This window comes from Homo sapiens, chromosome 10, assembly GCF_000001405.40.
Source record: "Homo sapiens chromosome 10, GRCh38.p14 Primary Assembly".
In the NCBI taxonomy this organism is placed as follows: Eukaryota; Metazoa; Chordata; class Mammalia; order Primates; family Hominidae; genus Homo; species Homo sapiens.
Genome location: NC_000010.11, coordinates 46,030,759 through 46,055,899, shown reverse-complemented (window position 1 = coordinate 46,055,899; position 25,141 = coordinate 46,030,759). Strand labels below are relative to the sequence as shown.

Below are 25,141 nucleotides of genomic sequence, written 5' to 3'. Positions count from 1 at the left end.
TTGGAAATATTTGGAAATAGCACCGTTTGTCTCTCACATATGTGATCTGGAAGCCCCCTGCCTGCTTCACATTGTCCTGCCTTTCCAGACTGAACCAGTGTTCATTTTACATATGTTGAGTGATGGCTCATGTCTCCCTAAAAGGTATAAAACCAAGCTGTGCTCTGACTACCTTGGGCACATGTTGTCAGAACCTCCTGAGGGTGTGTCACGGTAGCATATCCTCAACCTTGGCGACTTGGTGCTAACGCTGTACTAAATTACCAGGCTGGTTAACATCTATTGGAATTTCTTGGTGCCAAAGGCTGTGGGAGACCTGAACACATTGTCAAGGGAGGAGGAAGGGGAAGGAGAAGGGCTGTGGGATCTCCCGCATGAAAGGCCCCATGCTGGTGGTAGCCCCCACCTGCTGCTCTGGGGCTCAAAGGTGCTTAGATCTCTTCACTTGAGTGCAGATGCTGCCAGCCCTTTGGGCAGGTGTGTGAGGGAGGCAGCCCTGGCTGTAAAGAGAGCAGGGGCTTGGCTGGGCGTGGTGGCTCACGCCTGTAATCCCAGCACTTTGGGAGGCCGAGGTGGCAGATCATTTGAGGTCAGGAGTTTGTGACCAGCCTGGCCAACATGGTGAAACCCCATCTCTACTAAAAAAAAAATACAGAAATTAGCTGGGCATGGTGGCATGTACCTGTAATCCCAGCTACGCAGGAGGCTGAGGCAGGAGAATCACTTGAACCCAGGAGGCGGAGGTTGCAGTGAGCTGAGATAGCGCCACTGCACTCCAGCCCGGGCGACAGCGCGAGACTCCATCTCAAAAAAAAAAAAAAAAAAAAAAAAAAGAGAGTACTGGCTTTTGGGTCATTAGGACTATTATATAACTGAATTGTGTCAGGCCTCTGAGCTGAAGCTCAGCTATTATAACCCCTGTGACCTGCACATATATGTCCAGATGGCCTGCAGGAACCAAGAAGTCTGGAGCAGCCAAAAAACCCACAAAGTAAAACAGCCAGTTCCTGCCTTAACTGAGTAACCAAAATTACAACATTTTACCATTGTGACTTGTCCCTGCCCTACCTTAGCTGATCAACCAACTTTGTGACATTCTTCTTCTGGACAATGAGTCTTATGATCTCCCCACTATGTACCTTGTGACCCCCTCCTCTGCTAACAATAGATAACCACGTTTTACTGTAACTTTCCATTACCTACCCAACTCCTATAAAGCAATCCCTTCCCCATCTCCCTTTGCTGACTCTTTTCGGACTCAGCCCACCTGCACCCAAGTGAATTAAAAGTTTTATTCCTCATACAAAGCCTGTTTGGTGGTTTCTTCACATGGACGTGCTTGACAAATTGGGGTCGGCTTGCCCAGTGCAGTTAAGTCCAGATATCCACACTGAAGTTGCAGCACTAGAAAGGAAGGTGTTTATTCACAGAGCCCTGAGCAAGGGGGACCAGGCAGCGCATGCTCAAAACCTGAACTCTCTGATGGCTGGCAGATGTGAACCCTGAAAATCTGAGACAAGTGTCAATTTAGAAAGTTTATTTTGCCAAGGTTGAGGACATGCCCCCGTGACACACCCTCAGGAGGTTCTGACGACATGTGCCCAAGGTGGTCAGAGCACAGCTTGGTTTTATACCTTTTAGGGAGACATGAGCCATCAATCAACATATGTAAAATGAACATTGGTTTGGTCTGGAAAGGCAGGACAACTTGAAGCAGGCAGTGGGCTTCCAGATCACAGATAGGTGAGAGACAAACGGTTGCATTCTTTTGAGTTTCTGATTAGCCTTTCCAAAGGAGGCAATCAGATATGCATTTATCTCAGTGAGCAGAGGGATGACTTTGAATAGAATGCGAGGCAGATTTGCCCTAAGCAGTTCCCAGCTTGAATTTTCTCTTTAACTTAGTGATTTGGGAGGGCCAACATAGTTTCCTTTCACACAGGTAAGGGTTTTTAAAGGCGGGGTAAATTTTCAGGAAAGCAGCAGAAGTTAGATAAAATTGTAAATCAGTACATGAAGGGTACACATTGGTTTGGCCTAAAAAAGGTGAGATATCTTGAAGCAGGGGCTTACAGGTCATAGGTGGATTCAGAGATTCTTTGATTTGTAGTTGGTTCAGGAGGCGATGCCTTGCCTGAAAATTCAGGGTTAACAGAAAAGAATATTAGCTTTAGCTCATGGGTGTGGCTTTCAGGAGCCTCCGGAAGAAATTTAGAATGAAAGAAGGTGGTCAGAGTGCAGTCCTCAGCTCCCTCTATCTGAGGTCTGCAGGCCAGCAGATCCGTTTGGTGGGGGTCCACATGGAGGTCCAGGTTTCTGAATGACAAACTCAAGGACGTGTGTTAAGATGTTATCTTTAGTTCCTAAAACTAAACATCTCCGGACTCTAACTTCCTTGGCTATTGTTTTGGGCTACTATTACCTTCCTGCCTAACAAGTTACTTACTTACTTCTCAGGGCTAGCTGGATGCCTGAAATTTCCCTTGAAGGCACTCAAGATTTTCCTTTATTTCCATGCTTGATGGTGGCGTTCGGGGTGGTGGCACAGGTCCCTGCTTCATCTCAGGCCTGGGTTTAAATTCTCACTCTTTCTCACCATCTGAAAACCCTGAATAGTTGTTTCCATCCTGAAACCTCAATGCCCCACTGGTAAAGTGGGCGAGAGAAGGCCTGTTTTGTTGTGTTGCTGGGAAATCCCTGAGGTAATGCATGTGTGGACATGAGAGGCTCCAGCTCCCTTCCCACCTCTCAGCCCTCCACCCTGGGGTGGTTCTGGAAGGCACTGCTCATGGTAAGGACAGAAGGTTGCTGGCTGGCGTTCTTCTGTCTGATTCAGTGGCTGCATTTACTTAGCATGTGCTCTATGAGGAGAATAAGGGCCTGTGATGCTGGTATAGATCAGTTCAGATATACTGGTGGGTACGTGGCTGCTGCCCAACACTCCTGAGTGCCCCCACTCAGCATGTTGGATCCTGGCCCCTCCAGACCTCAACATCATCCAGAAACAGAAGGAATAGAGCCTCGCACAGTAGGGTCCCCCAGACTGACTTCTGGCAGCTGAACTGAAGGGTCAGTGGTTGAGCCATACTGGTTGTTCAACACTTTGAATACCACATCCAGAAAGAAAATACAAGCTCCCTGTCACGGTAGCCTCCTTGTGACTGTGTTACATTCAACACAAGACAAACATCAGCTTCACAAAAGGGAGCAGTCTCTGGGACAATCCATTGAAAGCGTGAGAGGCAGGTAGTTCCTGGGTTCTGTGCATAGTTGCTTTAAGCTGTAAACACACAATCCTTGACCAAATACCCTTTAATCCACTTGACAAACAAGAAGCTTCCGGGCCTCCAAGGGGATGCCCAAGTCTCCCTTTTCTCTGGGACAAAACCTGGTTTTGTTTCTTAGGTTTCTCAGCGGCTAATCTGGAACATGTTTGCTTTTGCCCCGTTTCTTTGTCCCAGTGTTTTTTCTGCTGTTTTCACACCTCTCTGGATAAGCTTTCCAAGTTCCTTACAGAAAACCAGAAAGATTATTCACCAGCAGTCTTCCTGGTCCCTGGCTTGTCAGCCTCAATGCATTCCAGTGCACTCTTGTGACACTGTATCCAGAGTAGCTGTGGCTCACAGCATTTACAGTGTTCTTTCTCGCTATTCTATTAGTGGCTTCCTTTTCCAACCCAGTTCTTTGCCTGGATATCCAGGATCTCTATCCCACCGTCACCCTCACTCCATATAGGGGGTTCATCCTACAGCATTTCTGTTGCTGTAAAAAGACCCTCTACTGCATCCTTTGGCATGGAGAATTTGTCTTATTGTATTTTTGAAGCAAGAGATTATGCAGAAATGAATCCATGGGTGGGGGCAGAGTCTGTCTTTCTGGTTTCTGCAGAGTGAAAACTCTCATAATGTCTGTCCTAGACTAAGCCCCGCAGTCCAGAAGCTGGTCCACCTCTGGACTTAACACTTGAGCTGAAAACGTCTCTTTTTGCCCATGCTCATTTTAGTTCGGTTTCCAACAGAACAGAATCCTGACGAATACCAAAACGGGTCCTGCCACAGGGTATCACAAAGATTGGGCTCTACAAAGTAAAATTGCCAGGGTATAAGTGGACCCTCAGGGAGGCTGGCTTATGCCAGGCTGGGAATTGGGCAGTCCTCGAACACTGAACACTTTTCCATCTGTCCCTTCATGCCTGCTTGTCTTGGGGAGGCTGGCTTTTATGGAGGGGTCCCTGGGAAGGAATGGGGGCCGATGGGGAGGGGAATGGGATCCGTATTGCGTATTTGGGGTGAGGAAGGGACCCAGAGGGAAAGTGGAAAGAACAGGAGCCGGTGGAGGGCAATGTGCAGGGTAGGGGTGGGGGTGCAGTTTTCACCTCTGGTCTCTGTGAGATACGAAATAAGATTGTGTTCTGCGTATGAAGTAGGCAGTTGGGTGAGAGGTTTAAGAGAAGAGATCATGGTTTGGAAAGGCTCTAGAGCACGATGGGAGAGGAAGTGGATGAGAGATAAGTCATCAGCTTGAAGACTGGTAAGGGGAGACCCCACCGATCCTGGTGTTAAATCAAGTTTAGCCTAAAGCCTTCTCCTTACATATTTTAAATTCACCCTAATGGTTTCTCTGTACATAGTGAACTGTAAGCTAACTGCACGTGTAAACAGGCTGTCACCTACTCTCGTACCAAGTAGCCGAGTCTCAGTTAATCACAGCAGCCAGACTTCAACCACTCACAGGCGGCCAGCTGTTGAAACTGGACTCAAATAAGCCAAGCACCATGCCATCACCAATCCGTCTGTTTCTGTACCTCACTTCCAGTTTCTGTACATCACTTTCCTTTTTCTGTCCATAAATCTTTGACTATGAGGCAGTGCAGGAGTCTCTCTGAACTTATTTTTGCCTGGGGGCTGCCTGATTCACACAAATGGTTCTTTGCTCAATCAAACTCTGTTAAATTTAATTTGTCTAACGTTCTTTTAACACTGGGAATGATGGCAGGGCACGGTGGCCCATGCTTGTAATCCCAGCACTTTGGGAGACCAAGGCAGGCAGATCACTTGAGGTCAGGCGTTCAAGACCAACCTGGGCAATGGTGAAACCCTGTCTCTACTAAAAATACAAAAATTAGCCAGGCATGGTGGTGCATGCCTATAGCCCCAGCTACTGGGAAGGCTGAAGCACAAGAATCGCTTGTGCCCGGGAGGTGGAGGTTGCAGTGAGCTGAGATTGCAGCACTGCACTCCATCCTGGGCGACAGAGCAAGACTCTGTCTCAGAAAAAAACAAAAAACAAAACAAAACAAAAAACCCTGGAAATGAATGGCAGCTCCTGCCACAGCATCAGCCCAAGGGCTGTGTGACTCCATGGATCTTGAGGTGTTCTTTGGGGCTTGTAGTGCTGACCCACAGGTGGGGATAGTGTGGCTGTAGTCAGTTAAAGTTTAAAATCTCTACATGTCAAAACATATCATTTGAGAGGTAAAAATATAAATGAGGAAAATTTCTCATTCCTTAGTTCTAACTCCAGAATGGGTGTGCTGACCATGAAAAAAATCAGGGAAATATTTTAACATGTGTGACACTTGAAGATTAATATCTTTAATATTAGAAGCCTTAACTAATCCAGAAGAAAAATATAAATAACCCAAACAGAAAAATAGCTAAAGGACATGAGTGAACAGGGTACTCACAAAAGAAGAAAAACAATTGGTCAATACATATACAAAAAAAGGTCTAGGCTGTGCACGGTGGCTCACGCCTGTAATCCCAGCACTTTGGAAGCCCGAGGGGGGCAGATCACGAGGTCAGGAGATCAAGACCATCCTGACTAACATGGTGAAACCCCGTCTCTATTAAAAATACAAAAAATTAGCCGGGTGTGATGGAGGGTGCCTGTAGTTCCAGCTACTCGGGAGGCTGAGGCAGGAGAAGGGCGTGAACCTGGAAGGTGGAGCTTGTACTGAGCTGAAATTGCACCATTGCACTGCAGCCTGGGAGACAGAGCGAGACTCCGTCTCAAAAAAAAAAAAAAAAAAAAAAAAAAAGGTCTAATCTTGCCAATTAGCAAAGAAAAATAAATTAAGACAAAGCATTTCCCACATATCATAGTAACAGGTGATAATCTAAGAGAATTATAATTTTCTTTTACCCAGAAATTCTACCTTTGTGATTTTTTTTTTTTTTGAGATGGAGTTTCGCTCTTGTTGCCCAGGTTGGAGTGCAATGGCGTGATCTCAGCTCACAGCAACCTTCGTCTCCCGGTTTCAAGTGATTCTCCTGCCTCACCCTCCGGAGTAGCTGGGATTACAGGCATGCTCCACCACGCCCGGCTAATTTTGTATTTTTAGTAGAGACGGGGTTTCTCCATGTTGGTCAGGCTGGTCTCGAACTCGTGACCTCACGTGATCCACCCACCTCGTCCTTCCAAAGTGCTGGGATTACAGGTGCGAGCCACCTCACCCGGCCTCTATGAATTTATCTTAAAGAAATTAGTATAAGTGTGGGAAATTTTTATCTGAAGGACCTGGATTTCAACAGCGTTTCTTTTTTTTTTTTTTGAGACAGAGTCTCGCTCTCTCGCCCAGGCTGGAGTGCAGTGGCGCGATCTCCGCTCACTGCAAGCTCCGCCTTCCGGGTTCACGCCATTCTCCTGCGTCAGCCTTCCGAGTAGCTGGGACTACAGGCGCCCGCCATGACGCCCGGCTAATTTTTTTGTATTTTTAGTAGAGACGGGGTTTCACCATGTTAGCCAGGATGGTCTCGATCTCCTGACCTCGTGATCCGCCCGTCTCGGCCTCCCAAAGTGCTGGGATTACAGGTGTGAGCCACCATGCCCAGCCCAGTGTTTCTAATTATAGAAAAAAAAGTCAGAAACAACCTGAGTGTTCAACAAGAGGTACCTGACCAAATAAATGATGGTCCATATCATTCCATGGAATAAAATGTAGCCATTAAAATGATAATCAGCCTGGGCATGGTGGCTTATGCCTGTAATCCCAACACTTTGGGAGGAGGAGGCAGGAGCATCACTTGAGCCCAGGAGTTCAAGACCAGGCTGGGCAGCATAGCAAGACCCTGTCTCTACAAAAAAAATCTAAAAATTAGCTGGGTGTGGTGGCACGCTCCTGTAGTCCCACCTACTTGGGAGGCTTAGGTGGGAGGATCAATTGAATCTAGGAATTGGAGGTAACAGTGAGCTATAATGGTGCCACTGCACTCCAGCCTGAGCAGCAGAGCAAGACTATGTCTTTAAAAAAAATTAAAATAAATAAAAAGAAAAATAAATAATTAAAAGAAATTAAGTTGGTTCCATCTATAAGGATGACAGTTGAGGTAGGATCAACACTGAAAACTGATCAGGCAGGTTTGGACAGAGCTGGCTGTCACACACCCGGAGAGCACTGCTCATTTCATTTGCCTTCCTCCCTGTGGGCAGCTGGCCACACCTGCTCTGAGCATCCCTTTCTCAACCCCTGGGGAGCAGTAGATGAGCTCATTTCAGCAGTGATATGGGTTGGTCTTGCCAGGATACTTTCTACTTGGGAATACCTGAGATAACCCAGGTGAAATCCTGTTCTGGGCAGCTGCTTTGCACCAGGCACCCTGCTGGTCACTGGAAGGCACACAGACAGGAATAGGTCACAGTCACTGTCTGGGTCACAAAGTTCTTAACTGCAAACAATAGAATTTACTCTAGGTCATTTGAGGTGGAAAGAGATTTGTTAGAGAATTCAAGCCTCTACTAACGGCCAGAGACACAGGCTTTCTTGGCACAAGTTCAGGTAGAGCACTGAAACCACACTGCTGCTTGGCTCCAGCAAGACCACCTTGCTACCAGTCACAGTCACAGCCCCCATGCACTGACACTGCACACTGGACTCCAAGAAACCCTTGCCCTAAGAGCCAGAACCCTCCACACCATCATTCCTAGGGAGATTCTGCATGATGCCAGTGTCCTTGGACCCTCTCTGAAGAGGACTTTTTGAGAGGAGAGTGTTTGTGGAGCCGAGGTTTGTGCCTGTACCCTGGAGGTAAGCAGGTGAGGGCAGCAAATCCTAGTTCCTCTCAATGTAAGGCAGAACTTCCCACTTCACACTGTGGGAAGTTCTTCAAACTTGGAGTTTTAAAAGAATCCAAGGGGCTACAGTGCATGATGAATGTGCCCCGATTTCCTGGAACTTAGAGTCGATGAACACTTAACTTATGCAGGTAAAGGCAGAAGTGTGTGGCACCGTTGGTGAGTGAGGAGGCAGCCAGACAGCACTACAGCTCTTCTAAGGAGCAGGAGAGTGACCTCAAGCTGTGTTAGGGGTGGTGAGGCTGATTTTAGGGAGGGTAGAGGATGGTGCTGGAAAGGGCCACTGTGGCCAGCTCAGATGAGCTTCAAGGATCCCCTGGTTAGGAGCATGAACTCTCATCTGTGGGCAGAGGGATCTCAGGTTAAATTTTAGGAACTGTAGCAAGCTGTGGCGAGGAGTGAGGGGACTTTTTGGGATAAAATTGTCTTATGAGCTCAATTGCATCCCCTAAAAATTCATTGGTTTAAGCCCTAACCCCCAATATCCCAGAATGTGACTGTAATGGAGACACGGCCTTTAAAGAGGTGGCTTAGGTAAAATGAGATAGTTAGAGTGGACCCTAATCCAATACAGCTAGTGTCCTTATCAGAAGAGGAAATTTGGACACAGAGAGAGATGCCAGGGATGCATGCCATGTAAGAGGCAGCAAGAGCATGGCCATCTGCAAACCAAAGAGAGAGGGCTCAGAGGAAAACAAGCCTTCCCCAATGGCTTGACCTCACATTTCTAGTCTCCAGAACTGTGAGCAAATAAATTTCTTTAGTCAAAGCCACCCAGTTGCAGTGTTTTGTTGTGGTGGCAGAGCAAACAGATAAAGTAGTAAGTCCCTCCAGCACCCTAGGAGGTTCTGCTTGTTGCCATTCCCCAAAGGCCATCCTAGCCATGATGAGGGCAGGTGCGGTTGTTTGGGAGGAGACCACTGTGGAACAAAGAGAAACAAGGCTTGCTTGATGCAGCAGGGAGTAGACTACAGATTCAAGAAGGGCTCTAGAAAGGTCCAGCAATTCAGCTTGTCAGGGAACCCCGAGCTGTATGTAGTTCTTGCTCTCCTGTGCCCTGCAGGATGGCTTGACCCATTTCTGTTCTCATGTCAGACCCTAAGGGCAGGGTCATCTGGGCCACAGACCCAGGCCCGGTGGGCCTGGTGGGCTGACCTGTGGGCTATTCTTATGCCTTCAGGAAACCCACCTTTACCACCTGGCTGTTGTGACTGGCATCGCTGAGGCTGTTTCTTTGTGTATAAAATCGAATAAGGACACATCACGTGCTAGCAATCCACCAGCATAGGGCGAAGGCTCAGCAAAGAGAAGTTCTCTCCTCCTCTGCTCTTTTAGGTCAGCAGCAAATGCAGATCGGGGTGGGGACAAGGTAAACACATAACTTGGGTGGAGATGTGATTGATTAATAACTCATAAATCATCTGAAACCATACTTTCCTTTTGATAGTCAACCCTCTGTAAACACTCAATGTGTTCTCACCTTGTTATCATTCCCAATGATGTCGAATGCGTGGTTGCCCTCTCCAGTATAAAAGTTTGATGCAGCTTTGCCTGGATGTACCTGTCTATAAGGAGTCCTGCTTATCACAATGGTAGGTAACTGGTTTTATATATAAAGGCTAGAAAAGCAAAAGAGAATATGTATTCCTATTTTAATATGCGTGTGCTTCTACCACATAGCATTGAATGGTAAATGTGACCTAGTTAGGAACCTTATGTTATTACCTGCAATTCAATGTGCAGAGTATGAGAGTCTGAGAGCTTGCGAAAATTGTAATGAGTTTAGCACTAGTTCTGTTCTCTAAGATCTAAGTTGTTTTTCCTTCCAGTAATTCTGGGGTTCAATTAGATTTCATAAGTGTCTCTAATTCTTGGGTCCTATGTGAGTAATTTGAAATTAAAAATAATTTCAGAGCTACATGACTGCATCGTTTTTGAGATGAGGGAACTGAGCCTGGGGAGGGGAAGAAGCTGCCACTGGGGTCTCACCGCAAGCCTGTGAATGAGCTGAGATAGGAACCCAGGCATTCCTCTCTCCCTGCCAGGGGCTCCCAAACTTGGCTGTGCAGTGGAAACTCCGGGGGAATTTTGAAGAACACTGACACCCATCTTCCACCCCGACACTCTGATTTAATTGGGCTGCAGTGAGAACAGAGCATCAATTTAAAAAGCTGCCCAGGTCATTTTAATACTCAAGTTTGGGAACCATTTCCCTAGGCCCTTTTCACTGTATCATGTGTTAAGGAAAAATCTTGGGTTTGGGGCTGTGTTTGTTGGTTTATTTGTTTGTTTTTGAGACAGGATCTCACTCTGTTGCCCAGGCTGGAGTGCAGTGGTGCAGTCATGATTCACTGCAGCCTGGACCTTCCTGGGCTCAGGTGATCCTCCCATCTCAGCTTCCCAAGTAGCTGGGACCACAGGCGAGTGCCACCATGCCCGACTAATTTTTGTATTTGTTTTAGAGATAGGATTTTGCTATGCTGCCCAGGCTGGTCTTGAACTCCTGGGCTCATGCAATCTGCCCACCTCAGCCTCCCAAAGTGGTGGGATTACTGGTGTGAACCACTGTGCCTGGCCAAGAAAGAATTTTGCTTCAAAATTTATAAAAACCCATGCAGGCTTTTCTTGTGTCTTAAACTTGATCTTTCTTAAAACATTCTTTACTAACGCTGGGGACTGAACTGGGCTGCTCTGGGGGCTGCAAGGGAGATGAGGCAAGAAACAGCCAGCCAAGTGGGAGGAGCCAAGGGAGGTGGGAGAGGGTCCTCAGGAGGGGACCCCGGGCCTCCTCTGGGCCACTCGGCAAGACAAACTTGCTCTCAGAAACTGTCCGGAGGCAGAACTGGGGATGGTAAAACAACAGTGGGGTGGGAGGTCCTCCCCATCTCCACTAGACAGGCTCCTCCAGCCTATACTCTATGCAGCCTCACAGTGAACTTAGCAAGCTGCAGAGCTGGCAATACCTCTGCCTGCCTAAGATCCTGAGGACCCCCAACTCTTTATTTATTTATTTATTTATTTTATTATTGTTATTTGTAGTAGAGATGAGTTTTTACTATGTTGCCCAGGCTGGTCTCTAACTCTTGGGCCCAAGTGATCCTCCCACCTTGGCTTCCCAAAGTGCTGGGATTACAGGTGTGAGAAATTATGCCTGGCCAGACCCCCAACTCTTGATCATGGGATAACCCTTCCAGGAGCAGTAATTTACCTAAAGAGATACAACTTTTTTTTTTTTTTTTTTTTTTTTTTTTCTGAGACGGAGTCTCTCTGTCGCCCAGGCTGGAGTGCAGTGGCGCAATCTCGGCTCACTGCAAGCTCCACCTCCCGGGTTCACGCCATTCTCCTGCCTCAGCCTCCTGAGTAGCTGGGACTACAGGCGCCCGCCACCACGCCCAGCTAATTTTTTGTATTTTTAGTAGAGACGGGGTTTCACCATGTTAGCCAGGATGGTCTCGATCTCCTGACCTCATGATCCACCCGCCTCGGCCTCCCAAAGTGCTGGGATTACAGGCGTGAGCCACCGCGCCCAGCCAAGAGACACAACTTCTAAGGATACTGCCAGCCTGCTTCACCTCAAGGCTCGCTGTACCATCTAGAAAATCCTAGCCCATTCTGGCGTCGTGGTGTAATCTCCTGCACACATCAGGAGCTCAGGGTTACTAAATGCAGGAAAGGAAGACACAAAGGGAAGGAAGGCTGGTGGCAGAATAGAAGACAGGAATGAAAAAAGCTTTAGAGCCTCTCTACTCAGGGGTGGACCTCAGACCAGCAGCGTGGGCATCACCTGGGAGCTTCCGTGTAAGTCTAAAGACCTACTGAAGCAGAATCTGCAGGTTAATTAACAGGCTGTCTGGTTGGGCGCGGTGGCTCACGCCCATAATCCCAGCACTTTGGGAGGCCGAGGCGGGCGGATCATTTGAGGTCAGGTATTTGAGACCAGCCTGGCCAACATGATGAAACTACGTCTCTACTACAAATACAAAAATTAGCCAGGTGTGGTGGTGCACTCCTGTAATCCCAGCTACTCAGGAGGCTGAGGCAGGAGAATCACTTGAACCCGGGAGGCGGAGGTTGCAGTGAGCCAAGATTGCATCACTGAACTCTACTCTAGGCGATAGAACGAGATTCCGTCCCAAAAAGAAACAAACAAACAGACAAACAAAACAAAACAAAAAAAACTCCCAGGAATTTATATGCACATTAAAGCAGCACTGGGTTGGTCATTGTTCCTGGGTTCTCACCTGGGAGACTAGGTAAAGACACTGAGGCACTGGCTCCTAGATTGTGTTTCCTATGAGCTCCCTGGATAACTCTAATGGTCACCCAAATGGGAGAACCCCTCTTTTTACAGGGAAGGAAAACTGAGTTTCAGAGAGAGAGAGAGAGAGAGACAGAAAGGGAGGGAGGGAGGGAGGGAGAGAGAGAGAGAGACAGCATTAGGCTATTTCTGAGATACTGTCAAGTGGATAATCTCAAAATTAAATAATTTGCTCTCTGCTGTCACCATGTTTGGGCTCTCCCCCAGTGGTTCAATCTCCTGCCTCTGCTCTAGAGCTGCAGGAGACTTGGGGATTTTGCACATGTCACTTGTCCTGGGATGCAGCCCTGCTTGTCCCTGTTGACTCTCCTGCTTTGTGACTCAGTGAAACCAGATCCCCAAGATTCCAGTGATCCCCAGTACCCCAGGAGCCCTCTTTCTGCATGAAGGGAGTAAAAATGCTGTCAACAAGGCTGGCTTTTTGGGGGGAAAAGTTTAGGTTTCCACAATGATTTCGAGCTGAAGGCTACTCAGAAGAATGAAACAGAACAAGTGCCACTCCAAGTCCTGGCTTGAGCTGAATGTATCAAGGCGTTGTGTCATTTTTAAAGAATCTTTCTTTCTTTGTGGCTATAAAACTCATATATTTTATTGTAGAAAATTTAGAAAATAAGAGGAAAAGTCCAAAGAAGAAAATTGTCATAATCTCCCCATCCAAAGATGACTTGTTATTTGGTACAAAACCCTCAGTGTGTTCTGAGCATCTCTCTCCGCATCATGTATTTCATAGCCTGCTTCATTTCATGTCGTGACATGTGGTGATCAATTGCTCATGTGACTTCACCTTCTACCTTGCTGGCTCACCAGGTGTTTTTCTGAGTCACTGTTCTCCACTGGCTCTGTTCTTGGGCATTTTGTTTCTTTCCATTTTTCCACTGCAGTGAGCATCGTTGTGGAGGAGTCTGTCTCTGTCTCTGTCTCTGTGCCATTTTTAGGATCACATCTTGGAGATGAAAAGGTGAAATCAAATGTTGTAAACGGTTTTAAGAATGTGGATATATAGTAGCAAATTGTTCTCCTTAACGATTGTTCAAAGTAAGTCATTCTTGTGCATATCACCTCCCATAGATACCTCTATTTCCCTCTGGGTATTATAAATTAAATGATTATTCTCACCATCCCATTATGCTTCTATTTCATGCTACATATTTACATTTCTTTTGTTATCAGTAAGTTGAACTTTTTCATGTGTTTATTCATCATTTCTGTGTGTGTGTGTCTGTGTGTGAAATGCCACTTTATTTCTCTTGCCCTTTTTCTGTTTAAGATGTTTTTCTTCTCCCATTGGTATGTAATGATATTGTTCTGAAAATTTGATATCTTTCTAATTTCAGTTATGTTCTTATGACGTTTATATTCTCAAATCTATTTTTCTTTTATGCTTAGAATAAGTATTTATGTATATATGCTGTGATTATTTTATGATCTTATTGTAAAAACTTAAACCTTGAATCCTTTTAGAATTTATTTCACTAATGGGGACTCAAATAGGAAATTAACTTTTTTTCTTCCCCAAATAGTTCACCACTTGTTCTAATAGCATTTATTGAATAATCGCTCTCCACAGATCTCAAAGAACATGTTTATTTTATAATAAACTTCTACATATATTTATACTTTCTGGGTTTTGTTTTTTTCTTTTTTACCCTATCCAACTACCTTTGGAATTTTCTGGGTTTTCTATTTTGATCTCTGTGTTTGCCTTTTTTTTTTTAAAGACAGGGTTTCACTCTGTTGCCCAGGCTGGAGTGCAGTGGTGCTATCATGGCTCACTGCAGCCTCAACCTTCCTGGGCTCAAGTGATTCTCCACCTCAGCCTCCCAAGTAGCAGAGACTACAGGGACACACCACCATACCCACCTAACTTTTGTACTTTTTGTAGAGATGGGTTTTCACCATGTTGCCTAGGCTGGTCTTGAACTCCTGAGCTCAAGCGATGTGCCTGCCTCAGCTTCCCAAATTGCTGAGATTACAGAATTGAGACACTGTGCCCTCCCTATCTTTCTATTCATATATGAGTAACATACTACTTCAAGTAGCGTCACTTCATAATTAATTTTAGCAATCTTACAGAATAAATGCCTTCATTCCCATTGTCAAAAGACAAAATTACAACAAATTTAGTTTAAAGATCTTAATTGATTTTTTTTTTTTTTTTTTTTTTGAGACGGAGTCTCACTCTCTTGCCCAGGCTAGAGTGCGGTGGCACAATCTTGGCTCACTGCAACCTCCGCCTCCCAGGCTCAAGTGATTCTCCCACCTCAGCCTCCCGAGTACCTGGGATTACTGGCGTGTGCCGCCACGCCCAGCTAATTTTTTGGTATTTTAGTAGAGAATGGGTTTCATCATGTTGCCCAGGGTGGTTTCAATTGCCTGAGTTCAGGCAATCCACCCACCTCCGCCTCCCAAAGTGCTAGGATTACAGGCATGAGCCACCACGCCTGGCCCTCAATTAACTTTTACTTGTGAGTCTATAATCAGGGAACACTTCATTCCATAAAATAGATCGAGTGTTCTGCAGAGCTGACCAGAGAAGTTTGGCTTTTTTTTTTTTTGAGACGGAGTCTCGCTCTGTCACCCAGGCTGGAGTGCAGTGGCCAGATCTCGGCTCACTGCAAGGTCCGCCTCCTGGGTTCGTGCCATTCTCCTGCCTCAGACTCCCGAGTAGCTGGGACTACAGGCACCCACCACCACACCCGGCTAATTTTTTGTATTTTTAGTAGAGACGGGGTTTCACCGTGTTAGCCAGGATGGTCTCGATCTCCTGACCTCATGATCCACCCGCCTTGGCCTCCCAGAGTGCTGGGATCACAGGCGTGAGCCACCGTGCCTGGCAGAGAAGTTTGGCTTTATAGACAGAAAAGAGCCAGAAAAAGCAGAAACAGAGAACAAAAAGCAAATTGGTCTTTTCGAAGTGACTTTGCTTATAAGTTAAAGCAGAGGGGACTTTCTCATCATGTCAGCTAAAACTGGCCTGTTGGGCATTTGGCTATTACCTCTCACTCTCTTCTAATTTCTTAGAAGGTTGGTTAAGCAACTTAGTTTTGGCTTAGTGGCAGAGAACTTCAGCATGGGCGACTGCATTTTGGTTTGGTCTGTTGGGCCCAGTGCAGCTCAGTCCAAACAAATGGCCTCCTCAACATTTTTTTTAACACCATCTTCCCTTTCAAAAGTTCCCAGAAATTACCATGTTAAGGTTTGTTTGTTTATTTAGCTCATCTCAAAAAGATGACAAAGTCAACTAGATACTTTTCCTTGTTCTACAATTTCAGCCTAGATTAACTGGTTTGTTCAGTTATGAGCTCCACATCATAACCTCTCAGCAGAGCCCAGCCGAGATCCTGGTACACAGCACTCAGTCAAGGATTATCCTTTGAATTAATTCATTCTCCACCCTGACCTTTCTTCACATTACAGAATGTTCTCCTGGGCAGCGTTGTGATCTTTGCCACCTTCGTGACTTTATGCAATGCATCATGCTATTTCATACCTAATGAGGGAGTTCCAGGAGATTCAACCAGGAGTAAGTCTTGGCTTTTCAATGTTTATTATGTTATTGCAGCCTGGTAGATGGACCTGTCTGCAGATGAAAGCCTTTGTGTTTCTGTTTGTTTGTTTCTTTGTTTTTTGAGATAGTCATGCTCTGTCTCCCAGGCTGGAGTGCAGTGGCACCATTTCAGCTCACTGCAAACTCCTCCTCCCGGGTTCCAGTGATTCTACCTCCTCAGCCTCCCAAGTAGCTGGGACTACAGGTGTGTGCCATCATGCCTGGCTAATTTTTGTATTTTTGGTAAAGATGGGGCTTTGCCACGTTGGCCAGGCTGGTCTCGAACTCCTGACCTCAGGTCATCTGCCCGCCACAGCCTCCCAAAGTGTTGGGATTACAGGTGTGAGCCACTGTGCCTGGCCTCACTTGGGCAGCCTTCTAAGAACACAGTAGCCTGGGCCCTGTACCCAGAGATACTGATTTCATTGTTCTAGGGTAAGGCTGAGACATGGGTGGCTTTCAAGTACCCAAGATGTTTCACATGTGCACCCAGGGTTGAAAACCACCGATGCAAAGCAAAGGGAAGTGTAGAAGTGAGATTCTCATCCAGAGATAATCCAGTAGGAAAAAATGTGGTCCCAAGTACCCACAGGCTCACATGGCTATCTAATTCAATAAAAGGGCCTTATTTTTTCTTGAAATATCTGTTCTGAAATAAAACTTAGAAGGATATAAGCTTTCTGTAAGAAAACATTATCAGTAGCATGAACTGAACAGTACTGGAATTAGCCGTGGGTGAATACAGGAGCACCATTCTTAGATACCTTTAAAATAATTGAGCTCCTCTCTCTCTGGGAGGGGTGTAGATAGTAGGGGCAGGACTCAATGTCCTGATAGGCCTTGTTCTCATTGCATGACTTGCACTGATGATGTTGTGTGTATTATTTTAGAATGCATGGATCTCAAAGGAAACAAACACCCAATAAACTCGGAGTGGCAGACTGACAACTGTGAGACATGCACTTGCTACGAAACAGAAATTTCATGTTGCACCCTGTAAGTCTCAAGCCAGTGCTGGCCAAGAGGGGGACATAGCTGTTCTCTGAGGAACAGCTACTCCGTCTTGCAAAATTCCAATCTTCAGGGGTTTAGTTTTTGTTTTAGTTTTTTATAGACTTTATATAGAGTAGTTTTAGATTCACAGCAAAACTGAGCAGAGGTACAGAAATTTCCCATGTGCCTCCTGCCCTCACACATGCACGACCTCCCCGTTATCAACATCGTCCACCACAGTGGTGTATTTGTTATGACTGATGAACCTACCTTGCACATCATTATCACCTGAGTCCATAGTTTATGTTAGGGCTTCCTCTTGGTGTTGTGGTATTGGGGGGTTAGTTTTCAGTCCTATTTCTTTCTTTTTAAAAAATTGTGGGCCAGTCACAATGGCTCACGCCTGTAATCCCAGCATTTTGGGGGGCCGAAGCGGGCGGATCACGAGGTCAGGAGATCGAGACCCTCCTAGCTAACACGTGAAACCCCGTCTCTACTAAAAATACCAAAAAAATTAGCCGGGCTTGGTGGCGGGTGCCTGTAGTCCCAGCTACTTGGGAGGCTGAGGCAGGAGAATGGCGTGAACCCGGGAGGCAGAGCTTGCAGTGAGCCGAGATCGCACCACTGCACTCCAGCCTGGGCGACAGAGCGAGACTGTGTCTAAAAAAAAAAAAAATTGCGGTAAAATATACGTAACGTAAAATGTACCATGTTAACAATTTTAAATGTATACTTTAGTGGCATTAGGTCCATTCACATTGTTGTGGCATCACTACCATCCACCTCCAGAACTTGTTCATCCTGCAAAACTGAAGCTCTATACCCATTAAGCAGTCACTCTCCATCCCCTTCTCCCCAGCCCCTGGCAACCACCATTTCACTTCTGTCTCTATGATTTTGACTACTCTAGGTCCCTCATATAAGTGGAATCATACAGTAATTGCTTTTTTGAGACTGGCTCATTTCACTTAGCATAATATCCTCATGGTTCATCTGTGTTGACGCTTGCATCAACATTGCCTTCTTGTTCGAGGCTGAATCATGTTCTGTAATATGGAGAGACCACATTTTGCATCTCCATTCATCTGTTGATGAACACTTGGGTTGTTTTCCACCTCAATCTCATTTCTTTTCTGTTGTTTTTGAAACTTGATAAGTAGCTTTATTCCAGATGGGCTCCTGAAGACAGGAAAGAGTATCTAATTGTCTGACACTATTCCAGAGATTGGCCCGGTCATCACCTCAGTCTGGGCCTTGTAGATTTGTAGAAATAGCAGTGGCTCTGAGCATAGGCAGAGGGATCAGATGTGAGGGGTAAGGGAGGATCTGTAGTGTGCCTTGCACCATAAAACTTATGCTGCTTCACTGCTCAAGTTTAACTCACGTCAGCCCAAAGGCTATGCAGATGTTTTCTGCTGGGTTGCTATGGACACCAGAAGTCTAGAACTTGAGCAGGCGGAACACAGAGTACCCGCAGTGCCGTCCTAATTTACCTGTTTCCTCAGCAGCTATGTCCATAACAGCTACCTAACTCCCAACCCCCCAAATCCATCTAACCTCTTCATGTAGCCTTGGCTTGTAGTGTTCTGCAGGAACAGGAATGGATCTGATGGCAGAGCATTGGTGTCAAGGGGCATTTCGCAAACTTGTCTGATCACAGACTCACCTGGGAAGCTTGATGAAATACAGATTCCTGGGCTCCATCCCAGAACTGATTGATCAGAATCTGTAGGGGAGGGGCCAAGGAATCTGAATTTTAACAGGTGCCTCGAGAGTCTTATGAGGACACTGCGAGTAAAGAAGCAAGCACTTGACTTAGAGCAGAACACCTGAGTCCTACTGAACTTGAAGTGCCTGGAGAGTTCCAGCCACATTTATCGAGCAGGCCTCATGCTAGGTGCCTAATGGAACAGAGGAATATTGGACTGGGAGATGGCTGGCTGCTCAGAGCAGGCTCCTGGGCATCGCATTGGCCAGATCACTGGGTATTACAGCTGAACCTTGATTTTGTGGCTCCAGAAATTTGACATTGTCTTTATATCAAGTGTTGATGTCACTCTGGTGGAGTGTGATTGTATCCCAGCCAGGTGAAGGACTGGTGACTGGTCCCTCCCTCACATAGGAGCGTGGCTCCCTGGTGGCTAAAATGTCCATGTCACCCAGATTTGGCATCCCTGCCCTCTTCTAAGATTCTCCACTGTAGGCTGGGATTCTCGTGGTCCTGGTGTGGAAACGAGCCAGGCTGCTCCTTGCAGTGAAGAGGGAAGAACCTCACTGTTGGAGTCAGAGTAACTTGAGTCTGAATCTCCATTCCCTTGTATACTAGCTGTGTGACCCTGAGTCAGTTTCTGAATGTCTCTGAGCCTCTGTTTCCTCACATTATAATTATGTGGCTATGATAATTAAATGAGATTCTGTGTATATATTCTTTAACCCAACAAACACTTAATGCCTTCTCTGTGCCAATTCTGTGTCCTGTGATCCTGGGACAGTAACTGACACCTGGTCAGGTTTCAAGGTTTCAAGGTTTCTACTGCCATGTTGCCTGTTCCATTTGGCACACTGCTCCATGCAGGGGAAATGAATCAACACCTTCTTCCCTGGAATTGCCTCACCTCCTTTGTTTTTCTCATGAACTTTTTTCTCCTCCATGGAAAAATACAGACTTTGATTAAGCTTTTTCTGGAAGAAGTTTTTGGACCCACTGCACCCTCTATGGGACGCTGCCCAGATCTCAAGGTGCTCGGTGGCAGTGGAGCCTGAGGCTGGGGGCCCAGGCAGAGGCTCCCAGGTAGGGCATGGGAGATGTCCTGGGCTCCACGCTGCCCGGGCCCAGGGCTGGCTCCCTGACTTGGGTGAGGAAAAGGGAGTGGGAGACAAAAGGCCAAGGTCATCCAGCCACTGACTCTGGTTAGCTGAATACCCGATGTTGACAGTTTCTCCCTCCCTCTCTCTCTCTGCTGTTTCCTCTATAGAGCTAAGTCTGGTTTGCATTGAAATAAGCATGCAGTAATATGCCTTTTGCCTTACCAACTTGTATTTGCACACAGGCAGCACAGATTCACCATTTCACTTCCTACCATGAACTAAAAGAATTGTATCTCTTCAACAAACACCACTTTATTTTTAACCTTTTTTTTTTATTGTGGTAAAATGTATACTACATAAAATGTGCCAGTGTAACCATTTTAAAACATACAATTCAGCGGCATTAAGTACATTCACAGTACTATGCAACCATAAACACTATTTCCAAATCTTTTTAATGACTCCAATCTGAAACTCTATATCCATTAAACAATAACTCAGATTCCCTGTCCCCCAAACCTGTGGTAATCTCAAGTCTACTTTCTGTCTCTATGAATTTGCCTACTCTAGATATTTCACATAAATACAATCACACTGTGTTTGTCTTTTCGTGTCTGGCTTATTTCACTCAGCATGTTGTCAAGGTTCATTCATGTTGTAGCATGTATCAGTACTTCATTCTTGTTTCTGCCAGAATAATATTCCATGGCATGGTCATACCACATTTTGCTTATCCATTTATTTGTTGAACACTTGAGTTGCTTCTGCCTGTTGGATAAAGTAAGTAATGTTGTTCTGAACATTGGCATACAGTGTTTGTCAATATACAAACATTGGCATATAATGTTTGAGTCCCTGCTTTCAATTCTTTTGGGATATATACCCAGGAGTAGCTTTCTGGGTCATATGGTAATTTTTTGTTTAACTTATTGAGGAGCTGCCAAGCTGTTTTCCACAGCAGCTGCACCATTTTACATTCCTACCAGCCAGCAATCACCTTTAAACATGAAAAACATGAAAGGTTTTAAATGATATTTCCCAATTTTCTAAGTAAACATATGAATTATAGAATCATTGGGAAGCATAAGAGAAAAAAGAAGAAATACCTACTCATAATCCCAACTGTGTAAAGGTAATAACTATTAACATTCTATTTTTATTTATTTATTTATTTGTATTAAAAAAATTAAGACAGGGTCTCACTATGTTGCCCAAGCTGGTCTCAAACTCCTGGGATCAAGCTGTTGTCTCACCTCAGCCCCAAGTAGCTGGGATTACAGGCATGTGCCACCATGCCTGGGCTTCTATCATCATTTATTTTCTTTTTTTTTTTTTTGAGATGGAATCTTGCTCTGTCGCCCAGGATGGAGTGCAGTGGTGTGATCTCTGCTCACTGCAAGCTCCGCCTCCTGGGTTCACGCCATTCTCCTGTCTCAGCCTCCTGAGTAGCTGGGACTACAGGCGCCTGCAACCACGCCCGGCTAATTTTTTGTATTTTTAGTGGAGACGGGGTTTCACCGGTTTAGCCAGGATGGTCTCGATCTCCTGACCTCGTGATCCGCCCGCCTCGGCCTCCCAAGGTGCTGGGATTACAGGCGTGAGACACAGCGCCCGGCCCTATCATCATTTCTTTATGTCTCTTTTCTATATGTTTTTTCTTTTACATAGTGGATATCAAATTTTATATCACAGTTTTGTGGGCTGATTTTTCCACTTAATATTCTAGCACTGGGCTGGGCATGGTGTCTCACGCCTGTAATCCCAGCACTTTGGGAGGACAAGGTGGGTGGATCATTTGAGGTCAGGAGTTCGAGACCTGCCTGGCCAACATGGTGAGACCTCCCCCGCGCCGACCCGCCATCTCTACTAAAAATATAAAAATTAGCTGGGTGTAGTGGTGTGCTCCTGTAATCCCAGCTACTCAAGAGGCTGAGGCAGGAGAATCGCTTAAACCTGGGAGACGGAGGCTGAAGTGAGCTGAGATCGTGCCACTGCACTCCATCCTGGGTGACAGAGTGAAATTCATCTCAAAAAATTAAAGTAATAATAGTAATAATACATAAATATTCTAGCATTAGTATCATCTCATCTCATCAGAACTCTTCAAAATATTTGTATGTACTGCAGCTCAATTAGAGGTGGTCTCTGACTTTCATCAGCTTCTCCCTGGGCTCCATGACACTGGCCTGGAGTGACTCATTGCTCTGGTTGGTTGAGAGAGCTCCTTTGCCAACAGGCCTCCAAGTCAGGGCTGGGATTTGTTTCCTTTCCACATTCTAGCAACAATATGCTGGCCACTTCCTGAACAGGGAGGGTGGGAGGAGCCAGCATGGAACAAGCTGCCACTTTCTAGAGTAGCCAGACTTGCCCCTGGGCCTGTCAGCACCTACTGATGACCTTCTGTGCCTGCAGGATGGAATGTAGGGGTGAGCTGTGTGACTCTATGGTACAGACTGGTCCAGGTTCCTGGAGGTCACACTCTGGGGCTGCCAGCCAAAGGGTGCCCTTAAGTTGGAGTGTGGGTGACTTCCTGAACAGAGCTGGCACTGGGGAGGGGGTGCTCGGGGTCCTTTCTCTTCTAACAGGCCCCAGTTTTGTCTCAATGACAGTGTTTCTACACCTGTGGGTTATGACAAAGACAACTGCCAAAGAATCTTCAAGAAGGAGGACTGCAAGTATATCGTGGTGGAGAAGAAGGACCCAAAAAAGACCTGTTCTGTCAGTGAATGGATAATCTAATGTGCTTCTAGTAGGCACAGGGCTCCCAGGCCAGGCCTCATTCTCCTCTGGCCTCTAATAGTCAATGATTGTGTAGCCATGCCTATCAGTAAAAAGATTTTTGAGCAAACACTTGAATATGTGTGTCCTTTTAATTTATAATTTATGTATGCATTGATTTAATACACATTATAAAGAATACAAAACATTTAAAAAGGGAGACAAAACTACATATGAATGGCCGGGCACAGTGGCTCATGCCTATAATCCCAGCACTTTGGGAGGCCAAGGCAGGCGGATCATTTGAGGTCAGGGGATCGAGAACAGCCTGGCCAACATAGTGAAACCCCGTCTCCACTGAAATACAAAATTAGCGTGGTGGCAGGCACCTGTAGTCCCAGCTACTCGGGAGGCTGAGGCAGGAGAATCACTTGAACCCGGGAGGCGGAGGTTGCAGTGAGCCAAGATCACATCAGTGCACTCCAGCCTGGGTGACAGAGTGAGACTCCGTCTCAAAAAACAAGCAAACAAACAAACAAACCCAAACCCAAACAAAACAAAACAAAACAAAATACATATGAATAAAAGTTCTATTTTTCCTAAACTCTATAATAGGTCATTGTGCATCCCTTACTCAGGGGACCACTGCCACTCTTACTGTTTCTGATGTCTGCACTCTGCTGCCCGTGTCCTGCTGTCTGGTGAACGATGAAAAAAATGTGTGTCTTCAAGCTGGAATTAGATCCCTTCTTTTCTTTACGGTGTTCCTGTTTATCCCTCCTTCCTCTTCATCAGGAAGTGTCTTCTATGATGTGTCCCCCACATTCCTCTGTGTTTGCTTGAGGTCAAAGCAGCTTAGAACAAGAAACAGCTTAGAACAAGCCTGTAAAACAGCTTAGAACAAGCCTGAAGAAAGTGCCCCCAAGACCACATGCAGCCCGAGGGGAATTAAAGGCCAGGGGCTCTGCCTTGCAGATGGAGAGTGGCCTGGGTGCAAGGCCCCAGCATCAGCTACCTCTTGCTACACACAGACCACCGAAAACTTAGTGGCTTAAGACAACGACAACATTGATTCTCTTTTAACTGTTTCTGTGTTAAAGAACATCTGTTCACTCAACAGGTCTGTACTGAGCACCTGGGCCAGGCAGTGCTCTAGACCTGGGGATACAGCAGTGAACCAGAGAGATTTCAGGAGAGAACCCTGTTCTCCTGGGGCTTGGACTCAGCTGTGTGTACGTGACAGATCAGAAATGAGCAAACAGTCATCTGTTGAACAATCAGTGGGCAACTGATAAAGAGCTTTATTTTCCCCTGTCCCCTATCTGTTTAAACATGCTATGTGGGCCAGTTGAGCAATCTAGACAGGTCCCTTAGCTTTCTTGTTCACCTTCAGATAATTTAAAAAAGTGGTCTGAGTTACATTTTGAGTTACACAAAGTCTCATTCCAGGGGCTGCATCTGAATTGAGAGGGAATGGGGGACAGGAGAGTTAAGGGCTCCTTCTGCCTGAGGTCATGTTCTAGGCTGACTTCCTCATGGGACTTTTGTGGGCTTCTCTCTCCACAGCTCCCCTTCCACTCACAGCCTATGACTGTTATCTTAGCTTCTGCATCGTAATCTATGTCTCCTATTGTTTTCTAATGAGGTTGCCTTGCCCCTTGTAGCAGAGTCACTCTTGGATGAGATCCATAAAACCCTGCTATGATCACCTCCTTTGCTGCGGAATGTGGGGAAGCAGTTGGCAACTGAGTATGGAGGACCTCTGTCAAAACTGAGACAGAAAGAAGTGCTATTTAACATCTAGTCACAAGTAAATAATGTGGGTTATAATCTGGGCTGTAGGCTGGACGTGGTGGCTCATGCTTGTAATCCTAGATCAGGTGGGAGGATCGCTTGTGCCCAGGACTTTGAGACCAGTCTGGGTAACACAGCAAGACCCTGTCTCTACAAAAAAATTTAAAAACCGGGCATCATGGCGCATGTCTGTAATCCCAGCTACTCAGCAGGTTGAGGCAGGAGAATCGCTTGAACACAGGAGGCAGAGGTTACAGCAAGCCGAGATTGCGCCACTGCGCCTGAGCGACAGAGTCAGACCCTGTCTCAAAGAAAAAAGAAAAGAAAAAAAGAATCTGGGTTCTGCCATTTATTTATTTACTCAATTTTTTTTTTTTTTTTTTTTGAGACGGAGTCTTGCTCTGTCGCCCGGGCTGGAGTGCAGTGGAGCGATCTCGGCTCACTGCAACCTCTGCCTCCCAGGTTCAGGCAGTTCTGCCTCAGCCTCCCGAATAGCTGAGGCTATACGCGCGAGCCACCACGCCTGGCTAATTTTTTTGTATTTTTAGTAGAGAAGGAGTTTCACCGTGTTAGCCAGGATGCTCTCCATCTTCCGACCTCGTGATTCGCCCGCCTCGGCCCCCAACGTGCTGGGATTACAGGCGTGAGCCACTGCTCCCGGCCTATTAACTCAATCCTTAGAAAAACAAATGTGGCAAAGGTGGAATCATACAACATATGGCCTTTTGTGTCTTACGATATTCATTTTTGCATCTGAATGTTCAAACTAAATAATATCTACCTTGTGAGGCCATCTGAATCACTTAGGATGGTCCTTGGCACCAAATTTGCCTTCAAAAAAGCATTTGCTTCATTTAATTTCGATTTATTCACGAAGGACTAAAGGACAC

The 25,141-nt window shown here is 46.0% G+C and overlaps 1 protein-coding gene and 1 long non-coding RNA gene across 3 annotated transcripts, besides 4 other annotated features; one reads left to right on the top strand and one right to left on the bottom strand.

The window, feature by feature from the left end:
* Positions 1,660 to 2,484: an enhancer, noted in NCBI's record as "OCT4-NANOG-H3K27ac-H3K4me1 hESC enhancer chr10:51541582-51542406 (GRCh37/hg19 assembly coordinates)". NCBI's record gives its function as "activates a minimal SCP1, AML or CMV promoter by ChIP-STARR-seq in primed H9 embryonic stem cells {active_cell/tissue: H9 hESC(primed)}" and the evidence as "EXISTENCE:reporter gene assay evidence [ECO:0000049][PMID:30033119]".
* Positions 3,217 to 3,511: a silencer, noted in NCBI's record as "tiled region #2638; K562 Repressive non-DNase unmatched - State 23:Low". NCBI's record gives its function as "represses a minimal TATA promoter and a strong SV40 promoter by Sharpr-MPRA in K562 cells {active_cell/tissue: K562}" and the evidence as "EXISTENCE:reporter gene assay evidence [ECO:0000049][PMID:27701403]".
* Positions 3,217 to 3,511: an enhancer, noted in NCBI's record as "tiled region #2638; HepG2 Activating DNase matched - State 5:Enh". NCBI's record gives its function as "activates a minimal TATA promoter and a strong SV40 promoter by Sharpr-MPRA in HepG2 cells {active_cell/tissue: HepG2}" and the evidence as "EXISTENCE:reporter gene assay evidence [ECO:0000049][PMID:27701403]".
* Positions 9,631 to 22,587, top strand: MSMB (microseminoprotein beta). 2 transcript variants are annotated; one of them, NM_002443.4, is made up of 4 exons: positions 9,631 to 9,665; positions 15,809 to 15,914; positions 16,829 to 16,934; positions 22,349 to 22,587. In NM_002443.4, the coding sequence occupies exons 1-4, from the start codon at positions 9,663 to 9,665 to the stop codon at positions 22,476 to 22,478; spliced, it is 345 nt and encodes a 114-aa protein (NP_002434.1). In that variant the 5' UTR covers positions 9,631 to 9,662; the 3' UTR covers positions 22,479 to 22,587. The 2 variants fall into 2 exon arrangements, with proteins under 2 accessions (NP_002434.1, NP_619540.1); NM_138634.3 differs by lacking the exon at positions 16,829 to 16,934.
* Positions 11,181 to 11,682: an enhancer, noted in NCBI's record as "H3K27ac hESC enhancer chr10:51551103-51551604 (GRCh37/hg19 assembly coordinates)". NCBI's record gives its function as "activates a minimal SCP1, AML or CMV promoter by ChIP-STARR-seq in primed H9 embryonic stem cells {active_cell/tissue: H9 hESC(primed)}" and the evidence as "EXISTENCE:reporter gene assay evidence [ECO:0000049][PMID:30033119]".
* On the bottom strand, positions 20,051 to 25,125 carry LOC105378287 (uncharacterized). Its single transcript, XR_945923.4, has 3 exons — positions 25,033 to 25,125; positions 23,116 to 23,311; positions 20,051 to 20,507 (listed from the first exon to the last, which is right to left on the bottom strand). It is a non-coding gene; the product is annotated as an uncharacterized LOC105378287 (long non-coding RNA).

What these genes read in the sequence shown, in the direction of transcription:
- MSMB (NM_002443.4), top strand. An exon ending in TCCAGGAGATTCAACCAGGA is followed by an intron (nt 15,915 to 16,828) that starts GTAAGTCTTGGC and finishes GTATTATTTTAG; the next exon opens with AATGCATGGATCTCAAAGGA. An exon ending in GAAATTTCATGTTGCACCCT is followed by an intron (nt 16,935 to 22,348) that starts GTAAGTCTCAAG and finishes TCTCAATGACAG; the next exon opens with TGTTTCTACACCTGTGGGTT.